Source organism: Homo sapiens, chromosome 12, assembly GCF_000001405.40.
Source record: "Homo sapiens chromosome 12, GRCh38.p14 Primary Assembly".
NCBI classification, from domain to species: domain Eukaryota; kingdom Metazoa; phylum Chordata; class Mammalia; order Primates; family Hominidae; genus Homo; species Homo sapiens.
Genome location: NC_000012.12, coordinates 51,108,169 through 51,131,734, shown reverse-complemented (window position 1 = coordinate 51,131,734; position 23,566 = coordinate 51,108,169). Strand labels below are relative to the sequence as shown.

The following is a 23,566-nucleotide window of genomic DNA, read 5'->3' as shown; positions in this document are numbered from 1 at the left end:
TGACTGAAGTTTTCTTTTCAAAAGAGGAGTTATTCAAGGCCACCTTGAGTGAAAAAAATTATTTTTAAAGGGAGTTATTGGTATTTCAGGAAATACATATTTTACTCAGCTTGTTCATAGACAGTTTAGAAGATCTGAGAGTATCATTCATTATACTGAGAGCATAGTTCATCTTTGGCCAAGTGGATGTTCATAAGATGTAGACATTCTCTGAGAACTGAAAACCTTTTATATCTTAACTTCAACCAAGAATACCATTTTTAGGAATTGTTTATGATAGAAAAAAACTATACCGATGGGCCTGTTATATTTGGTATACAGAAGATTTAGTATGCCTAGATGTTATCTATACCTTTAATATAATTTGTCAATTTGTCTAATCCTTGTTTTTTTTTTTTTTTTGAGACAGTCTTGCTCTGTCACCCAGGCTGGGGTGCAGTGGTGCGATCTTGGCTCACTGCAAGCTCCACCTCCCGGGTTCACACCATTCTCCTGCCTCAGTCTCCCTAGTAGCTGGGACTACAGGCGCCCGCCACCACACCCAGCTAATTTTTTGTTTTTTTTTTTTTAGTAGAGATGGGGTTTCACCATGTTGGCCAGGATGGTCTCGATCTCCTGACCCCGTGATCCGCCCGCCTCGGCCTCTCAAAGTGCTGGGATTACAGGCGTGAGCCACCGCGCCCGAACTGCGTCTAGTCCTTGTTTTGTCAAGGCAAGTACACAAATGTACAAATAATTTTTTTTTTTGAGATGGAGTCTCATTCTGTCACCCAGGCTGGAGTGCAGTGGCGCAATCTCGGCTCACTGCAACCCCTGCCTCCCGGGGTTCAAATGATTCTCCTGCCTCAGCCTCTCGAGTAGCTGGGATTACAGGCACCTGCCACCATGCCCGGCTAGTTTTTATATTTTCAGTAGAGATGGGGTTTTGCCATGTTGGCCAGGCTGGTCTTAAACTCCTGACCTCAGGTGATTCACCTGCCTCGGCTTCCCAAAGTACTAGGAATACAGGCGTGAGCCATCGTGCCTGGCCAGTTTTTTTTTAAGTATAGACAGATTTATAAGCCAGTTAGTTTAGCCAGTATATAGGCTTTTATAGTTATCATTTGGCTCTGCCTTCTATAGCAGATGGAAAATATGCTTTGGACTTTGTAATAGCAGTGAACTGGTGGTATTTCCTATCAGAGGACACTATATGCCAGTTAGCATTTTCTAATAATAAATAGGATCCCTAAACACAGTCCAATGCAGCTTCTTTTTTTTTTTGAGACGGAGTCTCGTTCTATCACCCAGGCTGGAGTGTAGTAGCATGATCTTGGCTCGCTACAGCCTCTGCCTCCCAGGTTCAAGCGATTCTCCTGCCTCAGCCTCCTGAGTAGCTGAGATCACAGACGCACACCACTATGCCCAGCTAATTTTTGTATTTTTAGGAGAGACGGGGTTTCACCATGTTGGCCAGGCTGGACTTGAACTCCTGACCTCAGGTGATCCACCCACCTCGTTCTCCCAAAGTGCTGGGATTATAGGCGTGAGCCACTGCGCCCGGCCAACAGCTTCTTTTTTTAATGTTATTTTTCTGTTTGTAGGGTTTTTGTGAAGGGGTCTCATTCTGTTGCCCAGGCTGGAGTGCAATGGCACAATCATGGCTCACTGTGACCTCCCAGGCTCAAGCGATCCTCCTACCTCAGCCTCCCAATTAACTGGGATTACAGATGCACAGAACCATGCCCAGCTAATTTAACAATTTTTTTTTGTAGAGATGGGGTCTTATTTTTTACCCAGGCTGGTCTCAAACTACTGGTCTCAAGCAGTCCTCCTGCCTCAGCCTCCCAAATTGCTGGGATTGTAGGTGTGAGCCACTGTGCCTGGCCCCAATGAAGCTGCTGCTGCTTTTTTTTTTCCCCCAGTTTTAGAACATTTTTATCCTGCCAAAAAGATTCCCAGTGCCCATTTTCCTTCCAGTGCAGCTTCTAATACCTGAACAGTCTCACAACATTTAGTCTTTTTAGAATAATAAAATCATAGAACTGATTAGGAGGCCCTCTTAAAGAGGTCAACTCATCCAACCCTGAGCTATTGAAATCTCTTTACAGAACAGAACTAAAAAGACTTCTTTGCTTCAGCGATCCTCTTTCCCTTTAGTTACTCTACATGTGACATGACTTTAGGTCACCTCACTTATTCTTATCTCTCTCCTTAGATTTTTTTTTTTTTTTTTTTTTTGAGACGGGGTCTTTCACTGTCGCCCGAGCTGGAGTGCACAGTGGCACGATCTCGGCTCACTGCAACCTCCGCCTCCTGGGTTCAAGAGATTCTCCTGCCTGAGCCTCCTGAGTAGCTGGGATTACAGGCGCCTGCCAAAATGACCAGCTAATTTTTTGTATTTTTAGTAGAGATGGGGTTTCACCATGTTGGCCGGGCTGGTCTCAAACTCCTGACCTCGTGATCCGCCCACCTCAGCCTCCCAAAGTGCTGGGATTACAGGCATGAGCTACCGTGCCTGGCCTCTCCTTAGATTTTTTAAGTCCTCTCAAATTTGTACACTCAGAACTAAGTATATTCAAATGTAGTCTGATTTGCATAGAGAATGACATTTTCTTCATTCAGACTTTGTTTTTAATGAAACCTGATACCAGTGATTTTGGCAGCTGTAACAGGCTGTATGTCTCTTTGAAATAGACTTTTTTAAAAGCCTAGTTGTTTCTCACTGTCCTGTGCCATTTTGTTGTTATTGTTGATTTTTTTGTTCTAAGCTTATGACTTTATATTTATCCTTATTAAATATGATCCCCTTAAATTTAGCCTCCTGTTCCAGCCACTTAGAATTACTTAAAAAGTTGATTATGTCATACAGGGTATTTACTTTTCCCATCCCAGATACCTGTCATTTGCACATTTGATCGTCCTCCTTTCCATATTCTCATCCAAGTCATTTATAAAAAAATGTTACAAAGGACAGGTTGCTCTGGGCCCCTGTTGCATACTACTGAGCCTTCTTCCAGATTTATCTGCACTCTTTAGGTACAGTTGTATAGTTGTCTGTGAAGCCACTTAACTTTTAAGTTAAAAAATTCATATTTTTTCACCTTGCACAGTGATATCAAGAGAGACTTTATTTTATGCCTTGCTGAAATCCAGATACTATATTTATGCCTCTAGCATTTGCTGGCCTAACCATATAAAAAAAGGAAAATGGAGTTTGGTTATGGTTTCTAGATGTTCCCAATACTAGTTTGTTTTTTTTGTTTTTTTTTTTTTTATTATTATACTTTAAGTTTTAGGGTACATGTGCACAATGTGCAGGTTGTTACATATGTATACAAGTGCCATGCTGGTGTGCTGCACCCATTAAGTCGTCATTTAGCATTAGGTATATCTCCTAATGCCAATACTAGTTTTTTTAATGAACTATTCTTTTAGTAACCTATTCTTCAGTCTTGCTTGTCCTGCACGTCACATCAACTCTGGTATAAGGTACGGGGAATATATTCTCCCTTCTTTTTGAAAATTGTTTCTGCAGGCTGGGCATGGTGGCTCATGCCTGCAATCCCAGCACTTTGGGAGGCTGAGTTGGGTGGATCACTTGAGGTCAGGAGTTCGAGACCAGCCTGGCCAACATGGTGAAACCCCATCTCTACTAAAATACAAAAATTAGCTGGGCATGGTGGTGCACACATGTAATCCCAGCTACTCAGGAGGCTGAGGCAGCAGAATTGCTTGAACCCAGGAGGCAGAGGTTGCGGTGAGCCGAGATCGCACCACTGCACTCCCTCTTGGACAACAGAGTGAAACTCCGTCTCAAAAAAAAAAAAGAAAAGAAAATTGCTTCTTCAGACACACAAAGCTAATGTGATATTTGGGATTATTAGAATCATGAGATTTGTCTGGGTTTCCTCAGTGTCACTCATGGGTCTCATCTGCAGAGACTCTTCAAGTTCTCTAGTGTAGAATTCATCCAGGAATTTTTTATTCATTTAGAGAGATAGGCACCCTTTGACAGTCTCCTTATTTATCTTGGTCACTAATCCACTTTTCCTAATATTTCTTCTTTTCTTTCTACTTTCAAGATGATTTTTCTTGACAGAAAAGATAGAGGAAAAACAGGAATTGAGATGTTCTGTCTCTGCTTTATATTAATTAGTAATACGCCTTTTACATCAAAGAGTGGGCCTGTGCCTTCCTTACCTTTGTTGCAAGTCTCAGCACATTCTGGGCTTCAGCTTCAGCTTCCTTCTTGATGACACATCAGTGCAATTTTTAAAAATAGTTTCTTTCTTTATATGTATATTGTGTATGTCTGTCTAATTCTGAGTTGATTGGTGAGCTTTCCAGCTAGTCTCTTTAGATAAGCCCCCTCTTTTTTCCCCCTCTATGTTAAATAATGTGAGATTGCCAGAATTTCATTTTTGAGAACCTCAATCCTGTTGTCTTCCCTTTTAGCACCTCAGACTTCGGTCCTGTCTTTAGCACCTCAGCCTTAGGTCTGGTTGAAGCCTGTTCTCAGAGTCTAGTTGCTACATCTAGCTGTGCCCCTTGCCCTTCTGCCTGCCTATCTGTCTTGGTTGTTTTCTTTTGAGGCATCCACTACTTCTTTTCTGATCAGTTTCTTCTTATTCAGATTAGGTTCCAAATTATAATTCTACTCATTTCTTCTACCTTCTGGATGATAGAATAATTAGCAAGGCAAATTTTAAAAATCATATATGCTGCTTTTTAGTTGAATGAGATTTTTCAGTAGCAGAAATCTTGTATCATCACTGGCTTTATGGTAAAACCACAGGGCCATCTCTTCTTGCCAGGTCTCCTCCCTGATCTGACCTTACATCCTTCCCACAAATCCCAGAAAATCAATCTATTTTCTTACAGTTGTTATGGCCAATTGTTTGCTGGAGATTTTTTTTCTTTTGAAGCTGGCCTCAGAGTAGAGTGTAGTCTCTTCAGCTGTTGCCCTTTCATGCTGTAGCTAACACAGGGATGTTAGCATGCTTTTGTTTCAAATGCCTTATTCTTATTTAGTGGAGGCTAAATGAGGGTTACAAATAGGAAAGTTGAAGTTCATGACATCTTATTGTCCCAAGTTAGTTTCTAAGTTCCTTAGATGCTATCTACTGCCTTTCTTACTCAAGGTAACACTCTTCAACCCTCTCCTTCTCCCTTTTCTAGGCTCTTTCTAGAACAGAGCATCTCGAACAGCTGGTAGGCCTGAAGGAAGAAAGCTAAACCACAGTTATGAATTAGAGACCATTCAGGGCTGCCTTTTCTCAAAAGGGTAATTTATACCTCGGGGGACCATGAAGCAGCTCTTTGTGGAATCCTAGTTACATTCAAGAAAGATCACTCCTGATATTGCTTCTGTTCCTCTTTCACTCAATTGCTTTCTGCTATACCTCCATGCTGAGGTGTGGATTTCCATTTAGGGGTATACATTTTTAACATACACTCAACTTATCCTTTTAACAGGTATGATTTCTATATCTTTTCTTTTCTTTTTTTTTTTTTTTTTTTGAGACAGAGTCTCACTCTGTCACCCAGGCTGGAGTGCAGTAGCGCAATCTCGGCTCACTACAAGCTCCGCCTCCCGGGTTCACGCCATTCTCCTGCCTCAGCTTCCCAAGTAGCTGGGACTACAGGCGCCCAACACCACGCCCGGCTAATTTTTGTTGTCTTTTTTAGTAGAGATGGGGTTTCACCATGTTAGCCAGGATGGTCTCGATCTCCTGACCTCGTGATCCACCTGCCTCAGCCTCCCAAAGTGCTGGGATTACAGGCGTGAGCCACCGTGCCTGGCCAATTTTTGCATTTTTAGTAGAGGCGGGGTTTCACCATGTTGACCAGGATGGTCTTGATCTGCTGACCTCATGATCCGCCCATCTTAGCCTCCCAAAGTGCTGGGATTACAGGCATGAGCCACCACGCCCAGCCTGTGATTTCTGTATCTTTATATTTTGATCAGAGATAGGGTAAGATAAAAAATTCCAAAATGATCATAGTGTATATAGTGCTGAGTATTCTGGTGAATGCAAACAACCTGTCAAAGGACAGAATTACAGCAAATTTAAAAGATCTCAATTGGCTTTCTTTATGATTCTGGAATTGAGCAAGACATCATTCCATAAAATACAGTAATTGTTCCAGTGAGCTGAGCAGAAGAGGTTAGACAGAAGGGCTAAAGAAAGCAGAAGCAAAGAACAGAGTATATTAGTTACTTTTCAATTAGTTACTTTTTCTTACAAGGCTGGGAGAGGGAGACAGAACAATAGAAAAATAACTGGTTGATTCATATGGAGGTCAGAGTGGAAGCAGGTGTGAGAGGGTCCCACAGAAGAAAACATGGCAGCCAAAGTGTTTGAGTCCACGGTAAGTTTGGCTTGGCCTTAGCTGTTGCAGGAGACCTGTGAACTCTGCCTTATATAATGTGGATGTTGGGCACAGAGCTGTCATCTTTGACTGATTCCAGGACAAAAATGACAGGACATTGTGGTAGGGGACTCACTTTCTCATCCCATGGGTACAGAAACCAATTATCTTTGCCTTTCTCCACCACGTAATGTACCAATCATCACTGGTAGCAAAGATTTACAGAATGTCAATATCACACTGCGCATCATCTTCCAGCCTGTTGCTAGCCAGCTTCCTCGCATCTTCACCAGCATCGGAGAGGACTATGATGAGCCTGTGCTGACGTACATCACGACCGAGATCCTCAAGTCAGTGGTGGCTCGCTTTGATGCTGGAGAAGTTATCACTCAGAGAGAGCTGGTCTCCAGGCAGGTGAGCAACGACCTTACGGAGCAAGCAGCCACATTTGGGCTCATCCTGGACGACGTGTCCTTGACATATCTGACCTTTGGAAAGGAGTTCACAGAAGCAGTGGAAGCCAAACAGGTGGCTCAGCAGGAAGCAGAGAGGGCCAGATTTGTGAAGGAAAAGGCTGAGCAGCAGAAAAAGGCTGAGCAGCAGAAAAAGGTTGAGCAGCAGAAAAAGGCAGCCGTGATCTCTGCTGAGGGCGACTCCAAGGCAACCGAGCTGATTGCCAACTCACTGGCCACCGCGGGGGACGGCCTGATGGAGCTGTGCAAGTTGGAAGCCGCGGAGGCTCTCGGAACATGACCTACCTGCCGGCGGGGCAGTCCGCTCCTCCGGCTGCCCCATGAGGGCCCACCCTGCCTGCACCTCCGCAGGCTGACTGGGCCACAGCCCCAATGATTCTTAACACTGCCTTACCCCCCTACCCCAGAAATCACTGAAATTTCATAATTGGCTTAAAGTGAAGGAAATAAAAGTAAAATCACTTCAGAACTCTTAAAAAAAAAAGAAGAAGAAGAAAAGAAAAAAATAACCAATTAGTTGGGCCAGGTGGCTCATGCCTGTAATTCTAGCACTTTGGGAGGCTAAGAGAGAAGAGCTTGAGCTCAGGAGTTCAAGACCAGTCTGAGCAACATGATGAGACCCCATCTCTACAAAAAATTTAAGAATTAGCCAGACATGGTGGTGCATACCTGTAGTCCCAGCTACTTGGGAGGCTGAGGCTGGAGGATCCCTTGAACCCAGGAATTGAAGGCAGCAGTGAGCTTTGATCACGCCACTGTACCCCATCCTGGGTGACAGAGTGAGACCCCCTCAAAAAAGAAAAAAAAAAGAAAAGTAGCTGGTTGGTTAACATCAGGTTACTTCAGGCTACTGTTTTTGTGTGAGGATTAAAGCAGAGGGAACTTCATTATCATGCTGTTTGAAGATTTAAACTGTCCTGTTTGGGAAATTAGGTGTCCTCTCTCTCCTGATTTCTTAGAAGATAACATAGCTTAGTTTAGGTTTAGCGATGTAGACCTTAAGGTGAATGACTCCATTTTTATTTTTAGTCTGCCCTGTTGGGGCCTAGTATAGGAGTTTAGTGGCCTCCTATAATTTTTATTTCACAAAACAAAAGTATACATCATATCAGTGAATATTTGCTAAGAACAGGAAAGAGAAGTCTTCCTTTCAAATAGCTTATTGTTCATTGGAATGAATTAATCTAGGCACAGTGGCTCATGCCTGTGATCCCAACACTTTGGGAGAAGAGGTGGGAGGATTACTTGAGGCTTGGAGTTTGAGACTACTCTGGGCAACATAGCAAGACCTCCATTTCTACAAAAAATAAAAATAAAAAAATGAATTAAATACATAAAGCAATCAGAAAATATAATAAAATGTTAAATTATACATTGGCAGCAACTACTTAGAATCTACCAGAATGGGTTTGGGTTTTCCTTTTCTAAACTCACCTCTGAGGAAGAGCAGACTTTTGTATTTCCAAAATTGTTTCTTTCTGGATGCACTTGTTTTTGTTTTGGTATAAATAGGGGCCTAGAATTATATTTACAGTGACCTTTAACCTCTATCTCTAGGAATGTGGAACTGGATGATACTTTTGCTCCCGCAGCAGACTAAAAGAAATGCGGTGTAGCAAGAATATGAATAATTGAAATATGTTTGGGGTTTATAGATCTTAAACTCTTTGATGAGGAAATACAGTCTTGTGTATTTGGTTTGGCTGTACTGTTTTGAGTTAATTTTAGGGGTAACTTTGAGAATCAGTTTTAGAATTCCAGCCCCAGATGACAGTCCTTTGCTTAGTCATGGGTTAGGTGTAATGCCACATGATCCTGAGAAGACTAGGAATGGTTGCTATTTATTAACCTTGGTTGGTAGTGATACTTGAGAAGAAAAAATAACCACCCTACATTCATAGAGGTTGAACTGTTGCTATGTTTCAAAATTCTGTTTGCCTTGAAATCTGGTAATCTTTACTAATCTTTTAAGGAATCATCAGATGTGATGTATTTGAGAATGATAAGGTAGTAAAGGCTTAGAAATGCTAACACTGTGTTAAGTTTTGTGGTGTTTTACTTTATTTTCTATACTTTTTGTTAGGAGAGCACTGGTAACTTCCTGATCTTGAGAAATAAAAGGACTAGAACAGAGTAATTTTTTAGAAAACTCTATGTTTCTACAGTTGTAAATAGTCTGAAGGGAACAATAATATGTTTCATGTGGAAAAAAATTAATATGGACAGGAAGAAGGATTCCCTCAACATTCTCCACTCTTAACTCATATGAGCAAAGCCTAAGCAAAAGAAAGTGCCTTTTGTGTTTCTGGCCTTTGAAATATTTTTTAACGATTAGAAAATTGTTTCATAGGCTGGGTGTGGTGGCTCACACCTGTAATCCCAGCACTTTGGGAGGCCGAGATGGGCAGATTACCTGAGGTCAGGAGTTCGAGACCAGCATGGCCAACATGGTGAAACCCTGTCTCTACTAAAAATATAAAAATTAGCTGAGTGTGGTAGCAGGTGCCTGTAATCCCAGCTACCCGGGAAGCTGAGGCAGGAGAATCACTTGAACCCAGGAGGCAGGGGTTGCAGTGAGCCAAGATGGTGTCACTGCACTCCAGCCTGGGTAACAGAGGGAGACTCTATCTCAAAAAAAAAAAAAAAAAAAAAAAGAAAAGAAAAAAAATAAAACTGTTTCATGAAAACTGGTTTGCATCTAATCTTTCTGGATTCAAATAATAACATTGTTATTCAGACATCAACAGAAAGAAAAATTTTCTTCTCTTCCACCCCTCTGTTTTTTAGTGTTCATGCCAGTAAATTTGTATTATACCTGTGTGTGAAGTCAATAATCAGAACATTTGCTACTTGTTTTATTTTCCAGTAATAATTTATAATATTGTCTGTAAAATTCACAAGAGTGTAGTCAACTTTCTGTCAATAGTGTCTTTGCCTGAAGGTAGTGACCCTGTAATCTGATGTATTGGGGAAAATGTGTATACAGGTGAGATATATAGGTACATATAAAGAATTGCTTTTTCATCTGTGAATGGTTAAAACAAAAGCATTTTTGTCTCTTTAGAAGCTTAATATTTAAATTATAGGTAAAGATTTCAATGTATTTCATTTTGAACATGGGGAATGTTAACAAGAATCATTGGGCTGGGTGTGGTGGCTCATGCCTATAATCATAGTACTTTGGGAGGCTGAGGTGGGCAGATCACTTGAGGTCAGGAGTTTGAGACCAGCCTGGCCAACATGGTGAGACCTCGTCTCTACTAAAAATACAAAAGTTAGTCGGGTGTGGTGGCGTGTGCATGTAGTCCCAGCTACTTGGGAGTCTGAGGCAGGAGAGTCACTTGAACCCGGGAGGTGGAGGTTGCAGTGAGCCGAGATCGTGCCACTGCACTCAAGCCTGGGAGACAGAGTGAGACTGTCTTAAAAAAAAAAAAAAAATCACTGGATTCCTGACTTCTGATCTTTTGGGGGAATATTTTTTTTTCTTTTGAGATGGAGTCTCGCTCTGTCTCCCGGGCTTCAGTGCAGTGGTACGATCTTGGCTCACTGCAACCTCCACCTCCCAGGTTCAAGCAATTCTCCTGCCTCAGCCTCCCAAGTAGCTGGGACTAGGCGCGCGCCAACGCGCCCGGCTAATTTTTGTACTTTTAGTGGAGACGGGGTTTTACCATGCTAGCCAGGCTGGTCTCAAACTCCTGACCTCAAGTGATCTGCCCCCCTTGGCCTCCCAAAGTGCTGGGATTACAGGCATGAGCCATACCGTGCCTAGCCAAGGGAATCTTAATTGTTTCTTTTATTTCATGTACCCTGTTCCTTTTCTTTTGTACCCAGAAGTACTCTGTGGCCTATATATATTTTTTCTTTTTTAAAAAAAACTTTACTGTGGAAAATTTCAAACATATACAAAGTAAACAGAATAATATGATGAACCCTCTTGTACTCATCACCTTGCTTTAACATGTTACTACTCTTTTTACCTTTTTTTTTTTTTTTTTTTTGAGACACAGTCTCGCTATGTCGCCCAGGCTGGAGTGCAGTGGCACAATCTCGGCTCAAGTGATTCTCGTGCCTCAGCCTCTGACATAGCTGGGATTACAGATGTGTGTCTCCACACCCATCTAATTTTTGTATTTTTATTAATAGTAGAGATGGGGTTTCACCATGTTGGCCAAGCTGGTCTTGAACTCCTGGCCTCAAGTGATCTGCCTGCCTTGGCCTCCCAAAGTGCTGGAATTACAGCCGTGAGCCACCACACCTAGCCCTCTTTTATTATTTTTACTTCTACCTATTCCCCATCCTCTAATCAATAATTTTTTTTTTAGGTAAAATTCATATACAATGAGATGCAAAAATAAGCTGTTACAGTTACAACCACGTAGCAGACCTATCATAGTATAATACATTTTTATCTCCCTACAAAGTTCCCTTATATACCTTCCAAGTCATCCCCTGCCCCACCAGGAAACCATTGTTCTCTTTGGCTCTGCCTGTTTTAGACTGTCATATAAACAGAACCATGCATTACACATTCTTTGTGTCCGGCTTTTTTTGTCGAGCATTATATCTGTGAGATTCATCCGTGTTGCATTCCTTTGTTTCACTGAGTAGTCCATTGTATGGATATACCATGGTTTGTACATCCGTTCTCTTACTCATGAACATTTAGGTTCTTTCCAGTTTTTATTTTTTTGTTGTTGTTGTTGTTCTTTTTTTTTTTTTTTTTTTTTTTTGAGACAGAGTCTTGCTTTGTTGCCCAGGCTGGAGTGCAGTGCCACGATCTCGGCTCACTGCACCTCTGCCTCCTGAGGTCAAGTGATTCTCCTGCCTCAGCCTCCCAAGTATCTGGGACCACAGGCATGCGCCACCACACCCAGCTAATTTTTGTAATTTTGGTAGAGACAGGGTTTCACCATGTTGGCCAGGCTGGTCTCAAACTCCTGACCTCAGGTGATCCACCCGCCTCGGCCTCCCGAAGTGCTGGGATTACAGGCGTGAGCACCTGGCCTAGTTTTTGCTTTTATGCTGTGAACATTTATAACAAGTCTTGGGTGGACTTACATTTTCATTTTTCTTGGATAAGTACCAATGGGTGGAATTGCTGGGTCAATAGATGCATGGTTAATTTAATTTAATTTTTTTAATTAATTTTTTTTTTTTGAGATGGAGTTTCGCCTTTGTTGCCCAGGCTGGAGTGCAGTGGCACCATCTCGGCTCACTACAACCTCCACCTCCCGGGTTCAAGCAGTTCTCCTGCCTCAGCCTCTTGAGTAGCTGGGATTACAGGCATGCGCCACCACTCCCAGCTAGGTTTGTATTTTTAGTAGAGACAGGGTTTCGCCATGTTGGTCAGGCGGGTTTCCACCTCCGGACCTCAGGTGATCCGCCCACCTCGGCCTCCCAAATTGCTGGGATTACAGGCATGAGCCACTGTGCCTGACTGCATGTTTAATTTTATAAAAAACTGCCAAACCTTTTCCTAAACTGTTTTATGTCATTGTACATTGCTACTGACAAAAGGATGAGAGTGTGGTTTTACATTCCCACTGACAAAGGATGGGTATGTGTCTTTGGTTTGCAAGTTTAGATAAACTGATAGATACAAAAAGCTTTTTCTTAGAGGAAATGGCTTGTAGGAACATCTCAATATTAGTTGTTATTCCACAGAATGTAAGATGACCTTGAAATATATACTCGTTATTGATTTGTCCTTTTCACGTGGCTTCTAAGGAATTGTAGAAGTTATTTTAGTCCTTATAGTAAATCAGCTGATATGGTTATATAGATAGTATAGTTGTTGCCTTTCTGAGAATGAAGACGTTACTGAATGTCCTAGATTTATACATTTTAGAACTCTGTTTATAATTTCCACAGTCCTTTTAGGAACCCCTGTCTATGATTCCTAGAAACATTCTCTTTAACACTTAGTGGTTTTAGCAGTGAATATCTGTCATCACCCACACTGTTGTGGTCAGGGGGATATCACAGCAGGTAATCTAAATGGAATTCTTGGGATGAAACTCCACCAAGGTGAGTAATGTTTATGGCTTTCCAAAGCATTGCAGTTAAATCATTCAGCAATAAACCTGCGTTTGCACCATTGCCAGGTATTAATGTGAGTCATTTGTTTTATTTTAGTGATGTCCTTGCATTGCCCATTTTTAAGCAAGAAGAGTCGAGTTTGCCTCCTGATAATGAGAATAAAATCCTGCCTTTTCAATATGTGCTTTGTGCTGCTACCTCTCCAGCAGTGAAACTCCATGATGAAACCCTAACGTATCTCAATCAAGGTTAGATGCTTCCTCATTCATTAGTACTATTGCAGACCTACTGTATTTATGATTTTTTTGTTTGTTTGTTTGTTTTGAGACGGCGTCACCCAGGCTGGAGTGTAGTGGCGCCATCTTGGCTCACTGCAAGCTCTGCCTCCCGGGTTCACACCATTCTCCTGCCTCAGCCTCCTGAGTAGCTGGGACCACAGGCACCCGCCACCACACCCGGCTAATTTTTTTGTATTTTTAGTAGAGATAGGGTTTCATCGTGTTAGCCAGGATGGTCTCGATCTCCTGACCTCATGATCCGCCTGCCTTGGCCTCCCAAAGTGCTGGGATTACAGGCGTGAGCCACCGTGCCCGGCCATTTATGATGTTTTATTAGGTACACTTATATGTAAAAACTTAGATCTTTCTAGTGTGGCCTATCAAACTAGAAGTCCTACTTCAGAGATTTGAGTTCTAATGTCATACTTGATATCTATTACTAGCTTCTTTTGCTTAGCTGTCCATTTTTAGTGTCCAGCTTCCTCTTCCTAATCATATTCCCTAGACACTCCCATTGGTTACTGTCTGAGAAGTATTACTCTACCTGGCTCTATTATTTACCAATTGTGTGGCCTTGGACAAGTTGCTAAAACTCTTTTAAGTTTCAATTTCTTTGTCTGTAAAATGGGATTGATAATACCTTAGAAAAGTATATCAGTTAAATGAGATAATGTGACAATACTTAGCACAGTGCTGAGCATCTTGTAAAGGCTTCTGATTGTTGTTACTAATACTAATAATATTATTATACTGTTGTATATTCAACCAACTGAATTTTATTCTTTCCGAATCTAGCAAAGTTAATTTGTGGTGAATATAATATGTAATTACTTTTTCTTCTAGGACAGTCTTATGAAATTCGAATGCTAGACAATAGGAAACTTGGAGAACTTCCAGAAATTAATGGCAAATTGGTGAAGGTAAAACGAATAAATCATTCTTCTGTACAATATTTTTTACTAATCCTTTTGGGATTTTAAATTTTGTTGTTGTTGTTAATGTTCTTTTGCTTCCAATGGCTTAATGGTATCTCTTGCCTGCAGTAATTTGTTGGCAGAGTAGTAAGCTGATGTGTTATTTCTTTGGGGTCAGAGTAAGCCCCAGTATTCACATGAATTTTTCAGAGCTGCAGAAATAGAACGCTTACCACTCCCTGTCCAGGGTAATCACCCCTGGCTCAGTGAAGTTCTTTTGGGTGGAGTAAAGTAACCTCCTTGAGATCTTTAGAGAAGCCTCAGTGTCTTTTTTGATACTTAGTCTTATAGCAAGGAAAACAGAAGCTACTTTGATGAAGAGCAGTTCTCTTAGTCTAGATTAACAGTTAGGATTTTGATAATTCACAGCACAGTTGAAACAGAGGAGTTTTGTCAAAAGGTGGTGGGAGGAATTAATAGGCACTTCTACAAAGTAAGAGTAACAAAAGGAAAGTTGATGGAAACAGGCTCTACCTACCCTCAGTGTTTACAGGTTGTATGGTGGGTTAGCAAGCGGGGGAGTTGGTGAGTTTTTCATATACATCTGAAGAGCTAAGCCAGATAGGCCGTGGTATAACAGAAGAGGTGTGCAGAAACGCTTCAGACAGGAGTACTTTATTCCTAGTTACCATCGGACTGAAGTTTAAGCCAAGTTTTAAATATGGTACCAGTTAACTATAAAGATTCTATCTGAGAAATTGGCTGGACCCGGTGGCTCACGCCTATAGTCCCAGCACTTTGAGAGGCTGAGGCGGGCGGGTCGCCTGAGGTTGGGAGTTTGAGACCAGCCTGACCAACATGGAGAAACCCTGTCTCTACAAAAAATACAAAATTAGTCAGGCGTGGTAGCACATGCCTGTAATCCCAGCTACTCAGGAGGCTGAGGCAGGAGAATTCCTTGAACCCGGGAGGTGGAGGTTGCGGTGAGCCGAGATCACACCATTGCACTCCAACCTGGGCAACAAGAGCAAAATCTGTTTCAAAAAAAAAAAAAAAGATTATATCTGAGAAATTATAAAATTTTATCCTGAAATAGCACTTAGTATGGTATGGGTTTTAGAGTGAAACAGATCTTAAGAAAAATAATTTTAGATTGCGTTTAGAAACAAACTGGCAGTGAATCCTGCTAGTTTTTCTTTGTCAGCACTGATTTTCAAGAGGTCTTGTTATCATCTGATTTTGTTGTATCCTTTTAGAGTATATTCCGTGTGGTGTTCCATGACAGAAGGCTTCAGTACACTGAGCATCAGCAGCTAGAGGGCTGGAGGTGGAACCGACCTGGAGACAGAATTCTTGACATAGGTGAGTTAAGAGAATCTATTGCCTAGGAAATGCCTTTAGCTATGGACCCAGAGTTGGTTTTCTTTATTTGACATTTACCTTGATTCATATGCTTGAGAGGCTCAATTAGTATAAACCTTGAAATTATTTACTAAGCATAAAAAATTTTAAGTAATACAAGTTAAAATGATATCAAAATTGAAGTTGGAAGTGTAAACACTTTAGTTCCATAGCAACTATAGGTTGATTTTGTTGTTTTTTAAGTTGTGGTAAAATATACATTACATAAAAGTTATCATTTTAACCATTTTTAAGTGGATAGTTCAGTAACATTAGGTACATTCACATTATTGTGTAACCATCACTATCATCCATCTCCAGAACTTTTCTCATCTGCAAAACCAGAAGTCTGTACCTGTTAAACAACAACTCCCCATTCTCCCTTCTTCACAGCCCCTGGTAACCACTATTCTCCTTTCTGTCTCTATGAATTGGACTACTAAGTACTGCATAAATGAAATCATACAGTATTTGTCCTTTTGTGACTGGCATTTTTCACTTAGCATAATGTTTTCAAGGTTCATGGTATAGCATACATTAGCATTTCCTTCCCATGCAAGGCTGAATAATACTCCATTGTGTGTATATATCACACTTTGTTTATCCATTCATCCCATGATAGGCACTTAATTTGATTCCATTTCCTGGCTATTGTGAATAATGCTGCTATGAACATGGATGTACAAATATGTGTTTGAGTCTCTGCTTTTAATTCTTTTGGATACATATCCAGAAATGGAATTGCTGGGTCATATGGTAACTCTATCTTAGATTTTTTTTAGAAACCACTATATTGTTTTCCACAGTGACTACACATTTTACATTTCTACCAGCGGTACTCAAAGGTTCCAATTTCGGCCGGGCGCGATGGCTCACGCCTGTAATCCCAAAACTTTGGGAGGCCAAGGTGGGCAGAACATGAGGTCAGGAAATCGAGACCATCCTGGCTAACATGGTGAAACCCCGTCTCCACTCAAAATACAAAGAAATTAGCTGGGCGTGGTGGCGGGCGCCTGTAGTCCCAGCTACCCAGGAGGCTGAGGCAGGAGAATGGTGTGAACCCGGGAGGCGGAGCTTGCAGTGAGCCAAGACCACGCCACTGCACTCCAGCCTGGGTGACAGAGCGAGACTCTCTCAAAAAAAAAAAAAAAAAAAAGGTTCCAATTTCTCCAATCCTTGTCAACACTTGTTGCTTTCCTTTTTTTTTTTTTCCTGAGATGGAGTTTCGCTCTTGTTGCCCAGGCTGGAGTGCAATGGCGCGATATCAACTCACCACAACCTCTCCCTCCCAGGTTCAAGTGATTCTCCTGCCTCAGCCTCCAAGTAGCTGGGATTACAGGCATGCACCACCACACCTAGCTAATTTTTGTATTTTTGGTAGAGACGGGGTTTCACCATGTTGGCCAGGGTAGTCTCAATCTCTTGACCTCTTGATCTGCCCGCCTCGGCCTCCCAAAGTGCTGGGATTACAAGCGTGAGCCACCACACCTGGCCTGTTGCTTTCTATTTTTTGATAATATCCATCCTGATGGTTGTGAAGTAGTATCTCATTGTGGTTTTGATTTGCATTTCCCTGGTGATAAGTGATGTCAAGCATCTTTGCATGTGCTTATTGGCCATTTATATATTTTCTTTCTTTCTTTATTTTTATTTATTTATTTATTTATTTTTGAGATGGAGTCTCCCTCTGTCGCCCAGGCTGGAGTGCAGTGGCATGATCTTGGCTTACTACAACTTCCACCTCCCGGGTTCAAGCGATTTTCCTGCCTCAGCCTCCTGAGTAGCTGGGATTACAGGTGCCCGCCACCACACCCAGCTAATTTTTGTGTTTTAGTAGAGACAGGGTTTTGCCATGTTGGCCAGGCTGGTCTTGAACTCCTGACCTCAGGTGATCCACCCGCCTTGGCCTCCCAAAGCGCTGGGATTACAGGTGTGAGCCAAGGCTCCCGGCCCATCATTTATATATTTTCTTTGGAGAAATGTCTGTTCAAGTCTTTTGCCCACTATCGAATTGGATTGTTTTGTTTTTTTTGTTATTGAGTTGAAAGAATTTTTAAAATATTCTGGATATTAACCCCATAGCAGATATATCACATGCAAATCTTTTCTGTTATTGTGTGGGTTGCTTTTTTACTGTGTTGATACTATCCTTTGATGCACTAAAGTTTTACATTGAGGTGGTCCAATTTATCTAATTTTTTTTAATTCCCTGTGCTTTTGGTGCCACATCCAAGAAATCATTGCCAAATTCAGTGCCAAGAAGCTTTTCCCATATGTTTTCTCCTAAGAGTTTTATAGTTTTAGGTCTTATATTCAGGTCACAGGTCCATTTTGAGTTCGTGTTTGTATATGGTACAACCATATACAAAAAAGGTTGTATGGTAAACCATATACAGAAAGAAGGGCCCAACTTCATTCTTTTGCATGTGGATACCCAGTTTTCTCCACACCGTTTGTTGAAAAGACTGTTCTTTCCCCCACTGAATGGTCTTGCACCCTTGTCAAAACTCATTTGACCATATATTTGAATACTTATTTGTAGGCTGTCTATTCTATTCCATTTGTTTAAATGTCTGTCTTTATGCCTATACCTCACTATTTTGCTAAGTGTAGCTTTATAGTCAGTTTGGAAGTCGTGAAGCATGAGAACTCCAACTTTGTTCTATTTCACGATTGTTTTGGCTGCTCAGGATCTGATATTTTGTTTTGCGTTTGTAAAGAGGGGCAGACTTTTTTCCCCAGCATGCTGAAAGTTCCTTCATTTTACTAGTGCCTGAGAACCAGGCACTATAAAGTGGGAGTTCTGGTATTAGAAGCTATGTCACTTGGTTTGCAGTTAAGTTGTGTCTTCCCACGTTGCTACACAGAGTAGAATTTGTTTTTCCTAAGTCATAGGGTATAAAGGAAAGATCTTCACAAATACACATGCAGTCACTTTTCATGGTGTCTGCCTCTCTGATTTCTAATTGGTTAAAATTTCCTTTTGGTAAACATAGTTGTTAAGAAAAATTTAACTGCTACTAATTTTACCTGAGAAAACATTGGTTCTCATGCAGTGATCCTGATATCTGTATGATAAGTTGACCTTAAGATGAATCTAACACAACTAATATTGTGGAGTGGGACCCACTTGATGCTCTATTGTTTGAATCATTGATACCAAAACAGTAGTATAGTTAATACCACAGTTCTGATAATACATATTACCTGGCCTTAACTCCCCAGTTTGATCATTAATAGGAGAAATCAGGGAATGCTATTTGAATATCTGCTGTGTGGAATGGAAAGAAAAGTTCTACTCAAACCCATTAATTCTTGCTTCCCTTTTAAGTAAAGATTTGTCACTCTGTTATAGGATTATTTGATGACTTGGTAAGTCAGCATCAACCATCTTTTTTTTTTTTTTTTTGAGACAGAGTCTTGCTCTGTCATCCAGGCTGGAGTACAATGGCATGATCTCGGCTCACTGCAACCTCTGTCTCCCGGGTTCAAGCCATTCTCATGCCTCAGACTCCTGAGTAGCTGGGATTATAGGCATCCACAACCACGCCCAGCTAATTTTTATATTTGTAGTAGAGACAAGTTTTCACCATGTTGGCCAGGCTGGTCTCGAACTCCTGACCTCAAATGATCCACCCGCCTTGGCCTCCCAAAGTACTGGGATTGCAGGCGTGAGCCACCACGCTTGGCCTGCATCAATCTTTATGTTAAAATTTTCCCACTTTCATTCATGATATAATGCTTTCTACCTTCATATAGACACTCTGCTGCACCCCTTCAATAGCAATACTCTTAATGTGCTTTTGGCAATGAAACTAATTTTCAAACTGTAGTTGAAATAGATTATAAATTACAGTTTTCATGATAGTGTAGACTTAATCCACCTTAAATAGGATTTTAACAAATTAAAAGGAAACTGCCTTTAAATTGCCATATTTTAAGCTAGAAGGAGGATACTAAACATTCCCAACACAAAGAAATGACAGATGTTTGAGACAATGAATATGCTGATTACCCTGATCTGATCACTATGCATTATATGTATTGAAACATCACTATATAGCCCATGAATATGTACAATTATTATTTCTCAATTTAAAAATGATTTTTTTGTTTTTCGAGACAGTCTTGCTCTGTCACCCAGGCTGGAGCACAGTGGCGCAATACTGGCTCACTGCAACCTCCGCCTCCCTGGTTCAAGCAGTTCTCTCTGCCTCAGCCTCTCAGGTAGCTGGGATTACAGATGCCCACTACCATGCCTGGCTAATTTTTGTATTTTTTAGTAGAGACGGGGTTTCGCCATGTTGGCCAGGCTGGTCTTGAACTCTTGACTTCAGGTGATCCGCTCACCTTGGCCTCCCAAAGTGCTGGGATAACAGGTGTAAGCCACCACGCCTGGCCTAAAAATAATTTTTTTTTTTGAGATGAAGTCTTGCTTTGTCACCCAGGCTGGAGTGCAGTGGCTCGATCTCCGGCTCACTGCAACCTCCACCTCCCAGGTTCAAGCAATTCTCCTGCTTCAGCCTCCTGAGTAGCTGGGATTACAGGTGTGGGCCACCACGGCCGGCTAATTTTTGTATTTTTAGTAGAGATGAGGTTACGTCATGTTGGTCAGGCTGGTCTCGAACTCCTGACATCATGATCCGCCTGCCTTGGGCTCCCAAAGTGCTGGGATTACAGGTGTGAGCCACCGTGCCTGGCCAAATAATTTTTTTAATTGCCGTATTTTAAAAACTTTTTAAAGAGGAAAAAAGGTGCTCAAGCAAAGTACTTAAGTCAATTTTACTCTAATCAAATATTTTCATTGACAAAAAAGAAATTTAAGGTGTGGGCTGGGCACAGTGGCTCAAGCCTGTAATCCCAGCACTTTAGGAGGCCAAGGTGGGTGGATAACCTGAGGTCAGGAGTTTGAGAGCAGCATGGCCAACATGGTGAAACCCCATCTCTACTAAAGATACAAAAAAATTAGCCGGGCGTGGTGGCACGGGCCTGTAATCCCAGCTACTCAGGAGGCAGAGGCAGGAGGATCGTTTGAACCCAGGAGGCAGAGGTTGCAGTGAGCTGAGATGGTGCCACTGCACTCCAGGCCTGTTACCACTGCACTCCAGCTTGGGCAACAGAACAAGACTCCATAAAAAACAACAACAACGACAAAAAAAAAAAACAAAGAAATTTAGGATGTGATATACAAAAATCTTGGTAGCTACATTGAGTAATATAAGAATCAATGCTTTCTTATTTAAAACTGAGTGGCCCTCAAAATTGTTCAATGATTACCATTTTGTTTCTCAGATATCCCGATGTCTGTGGGTATAATCGATCCTAGGGCTAATCCAACTCAACTAAATACAGTGGAGTTCCTGTGGGACCCTGCAAAGAGGACATCTGTGTTTATTCAGGTAAGGCGTTGCAGATAGGGTTCCAGTTTTGAAGAGTATCTCTCTTACTATCAGTTTATTTCTTAAAGGATAAAACATGTTAACTTTGAAATCTTTACAGGGTTCTAGCCTGACTGTCAAGCCCAGGCTCTTTAACCTGTGCCTGAGAGCATTGAGGAGTTTCTGAATTGCTCTTCTAATACCCCAGTTTATTTATTTGTGTCTCCCAAAATTGCTTGGTAATGGCTGCATAATATTTCATTTCTTGGTTGTACCATAATTTACATAACAATTATTTGGCAGTTAGATTGGCATAATTTTTTTGGGGGGGGACAGTGTCTAGGCTTTGTCTCCCAATCTGGAGTGGAGTGGTGCAATCTCGGCTCACTACAACCTCTGCCTCCCAGTTCAAGCGATTCTCTTGCCTCAGCCTCACCAGTAGCTGGGACTAGAGGCGCATGTCACCATGCCTGGCTAATTTTTGTATTTTTGGTAGAGGTGGGATTTCGCCATGCTAGCCAGGCTGGTCTTGAACTCCTGACCTCAGGTGACCCACCCACCTTGGCCTCCCAAAGTGCTGGGATTATAGGTGTGAGCCACCATGCCCGGCCTTGATTGGCCTGATTTTTTACTATTATCTGTGATGTTATTTTGAACATATTTATACTTAAAATTTGATTTGCGTATCTGATTATGTTCTTTGGGTAGAGTCCTTGAAAATCCTTATTTGTAGTAATTATAGTAACCACTAGTTTATTAATACTTCACATGAAATAGTCACTATGTTAAGTAAACACTTTATATATATGATTTTAAGACTTTCAGCTATAATCTTGTGGAGTAGTCAGTCAGACAAGGTTCTTCTATTAAGATTCACCAGGCTGGGTGCCGTGGCTCACACCTGTAATCCCAGCACTTTGGGAGGCCGAGGCAGGCAGATCACCTGAGGTCAGGAGTTCGAGACCAGCCTGGCCAACATGGCGAAAACCTGTCTCTACTAAAAATGCAAAAATTAGCAGGGCGTGGTGGTGTGTGCCTGTAATCCCAGCTATTTGGGAGGCTGAGGCAGGAGAATTGCTTGAACCGGGGAGGTGGAGGTTGCGGTGAGCCGAGATTGTGCCATTGCATTCCAGCCTGGGTGACAAGAGCAAAACTTAGTCTCAAAAAAAAAAAAAAAAAAAATTCACCAATCTTAGACTTTATGCAGTAGCCAAGCAAACCTTTTTCTCCACTATTGCTGTGAACTTTCATATTTACTATGTTCCCAGACTGGGTAGTGACTCCTCTTTCTACAATCTTCCTTAAAATTGAGGAAACTTTAACTAACATAAATCATTTCTCTTTTGCTAGCTCTGTGTTCTTTGAAGCAGTTAATGAATTTAGTTCCTCACAGTAGCTTTTGTTAGCATTAGATCTGTACTTTTATTTTGTTTGCATTTGTAAAGCATTTTTCTATTTCCTCTATCAGATTGTAAGTTCTTCAAGATCAAAAAGAGGAAAAGTGTTTTTTGTAGGTATTCATAATGCCTGGTAAAGGTTTTGCTGTTAATAGTTGCTAAAAAAATACTGCCAACTGGTTTGGCTAGCTAGCGGTACTGAAGCCTTGCTGTTGTATTCTTTTCAGGTGCACTGTATTAGCACAGAGTTCACTATGAGGAAACATGGTGGAGAAAAGGGGGTGCCATTCCGAGTACAAATAGATACCTTCAAGGAGAATGAAAACGGGGAATATACTGAGCACTTACACTCGGCCAGCTGCCAGATCAAAGTTTTCAAGGTATTCCTGGGCAATGTGCTGGCCCTTGGATTCTTTTACCTTATCATTCTATTTTAACATTAGTTACCAAGTCAGAAAATCAACTTGTCTTTTTTTGAAAACTCACACACACGCAAAAAGTCTAAGCTAGAGTCATTGAAATAATTACCAAGATGCCTGGTAAAGAAATTTACATGGTCGTAGGATAATAGGAACTTGGAAAAGAGGGCTAGAGGCAAGAACATGGATTCTCATTGAAAGCTCTTAAAGCCTATTGAAGTTACAAGCTCTTGTAAAGCTCACAAAAATTGACTAGTTATGGTTATTTTCATACTTGATCTTTTCTTATTTGGTCTTATTTATTTATTTATTTATTTTTGAGACTGGGTTTCATTTTGTCACCCAGGCTGGAGTGCAGTGACGCAATCATAGTTTAACCTCCTGGGCTCAATTGATCTTCCTGCCTCAGCTTCCCCAGTAAGTGGGACTACAGGCATGTGCCACCACACCGGGCTAATTTTTGTATTTTTTATAGAGAGGGGGTCTTGCCATGTTGCCCAGGCTGGCCTTGAACTCCCGGGCTTAAGTTATCTGCCCTCCTTGGCCTCCCAAAGTACTGGGATTACAGGTGTAAGCCACTGTGCCCCAGCCAGGGTCCTGTTTATTTTTATCACATGAATAAATATGTTCTCATTGTAAGAGATTGAATAATACAGAGGTATTCATAGCAACACTGAAATTCTCCCTTTACTACTCTTACACTGACCCCCTCCACAACCTCTTCCCAGAGGAAACCACTGTCATAATTTCATAATTTCGTATGTGTTCTTCTACTTCCCTCTTCTTTTTTTTTTTTGAGTCGGAGTTTCACTCTGTCACCCAGGCTGGAATGCAGTGGTGCAGTGCCAGCTCACTGCAACCTCCGTCTCCTGGGTTCAAGCTGTTCTCACGCCTCAGCCTCCCCAGCACCTAG

General features: G+C 41.5%; 1 protein-coding gene and 1 pseudogene across 3 annotated transcripts in view; both read left to right on the top strand.

The window, feature by feature from the left end:
• The window catches only part of TFCP2 (transcription factor CP2), a 79,480-nt gene that overhangs the window by 41,401 nt on the left and 14,513 nt on the right, over positions 1–23,566 (top strand). For 2 of the 3 annotated variants that reach the window (NM_005653.5, NM_001173452.2), the window contains exons 2-6: positions 12,963–13,114; positions 13,988–14,064; positions 15,315–15,420; positions 20,752–20,858; positions 22,462–22,614. In NM_005653.5, the coding sequence (NP_005644.2) occupies positions 12,963–13,114; positions 13,988–14,064; positions 15,315–15,420; positions 20,752–20,858; positions 22,462–22,614 (595 nt within the window). The remainder of the gene's footprint in view (positions 1–12,962; positions 13,115–13,987; positions 14,065–15,314; positions 15,421–20,751; positions 20,859–22,461; positions 22,615–23,566) is intronic. The other variant, NM_001173453.2, reaches the window with a different exon arrangement.
• Positions 6,267–7,300, top strand: PHB1P19 (PHB1 pseudogene 19; annotated as a pseudogene).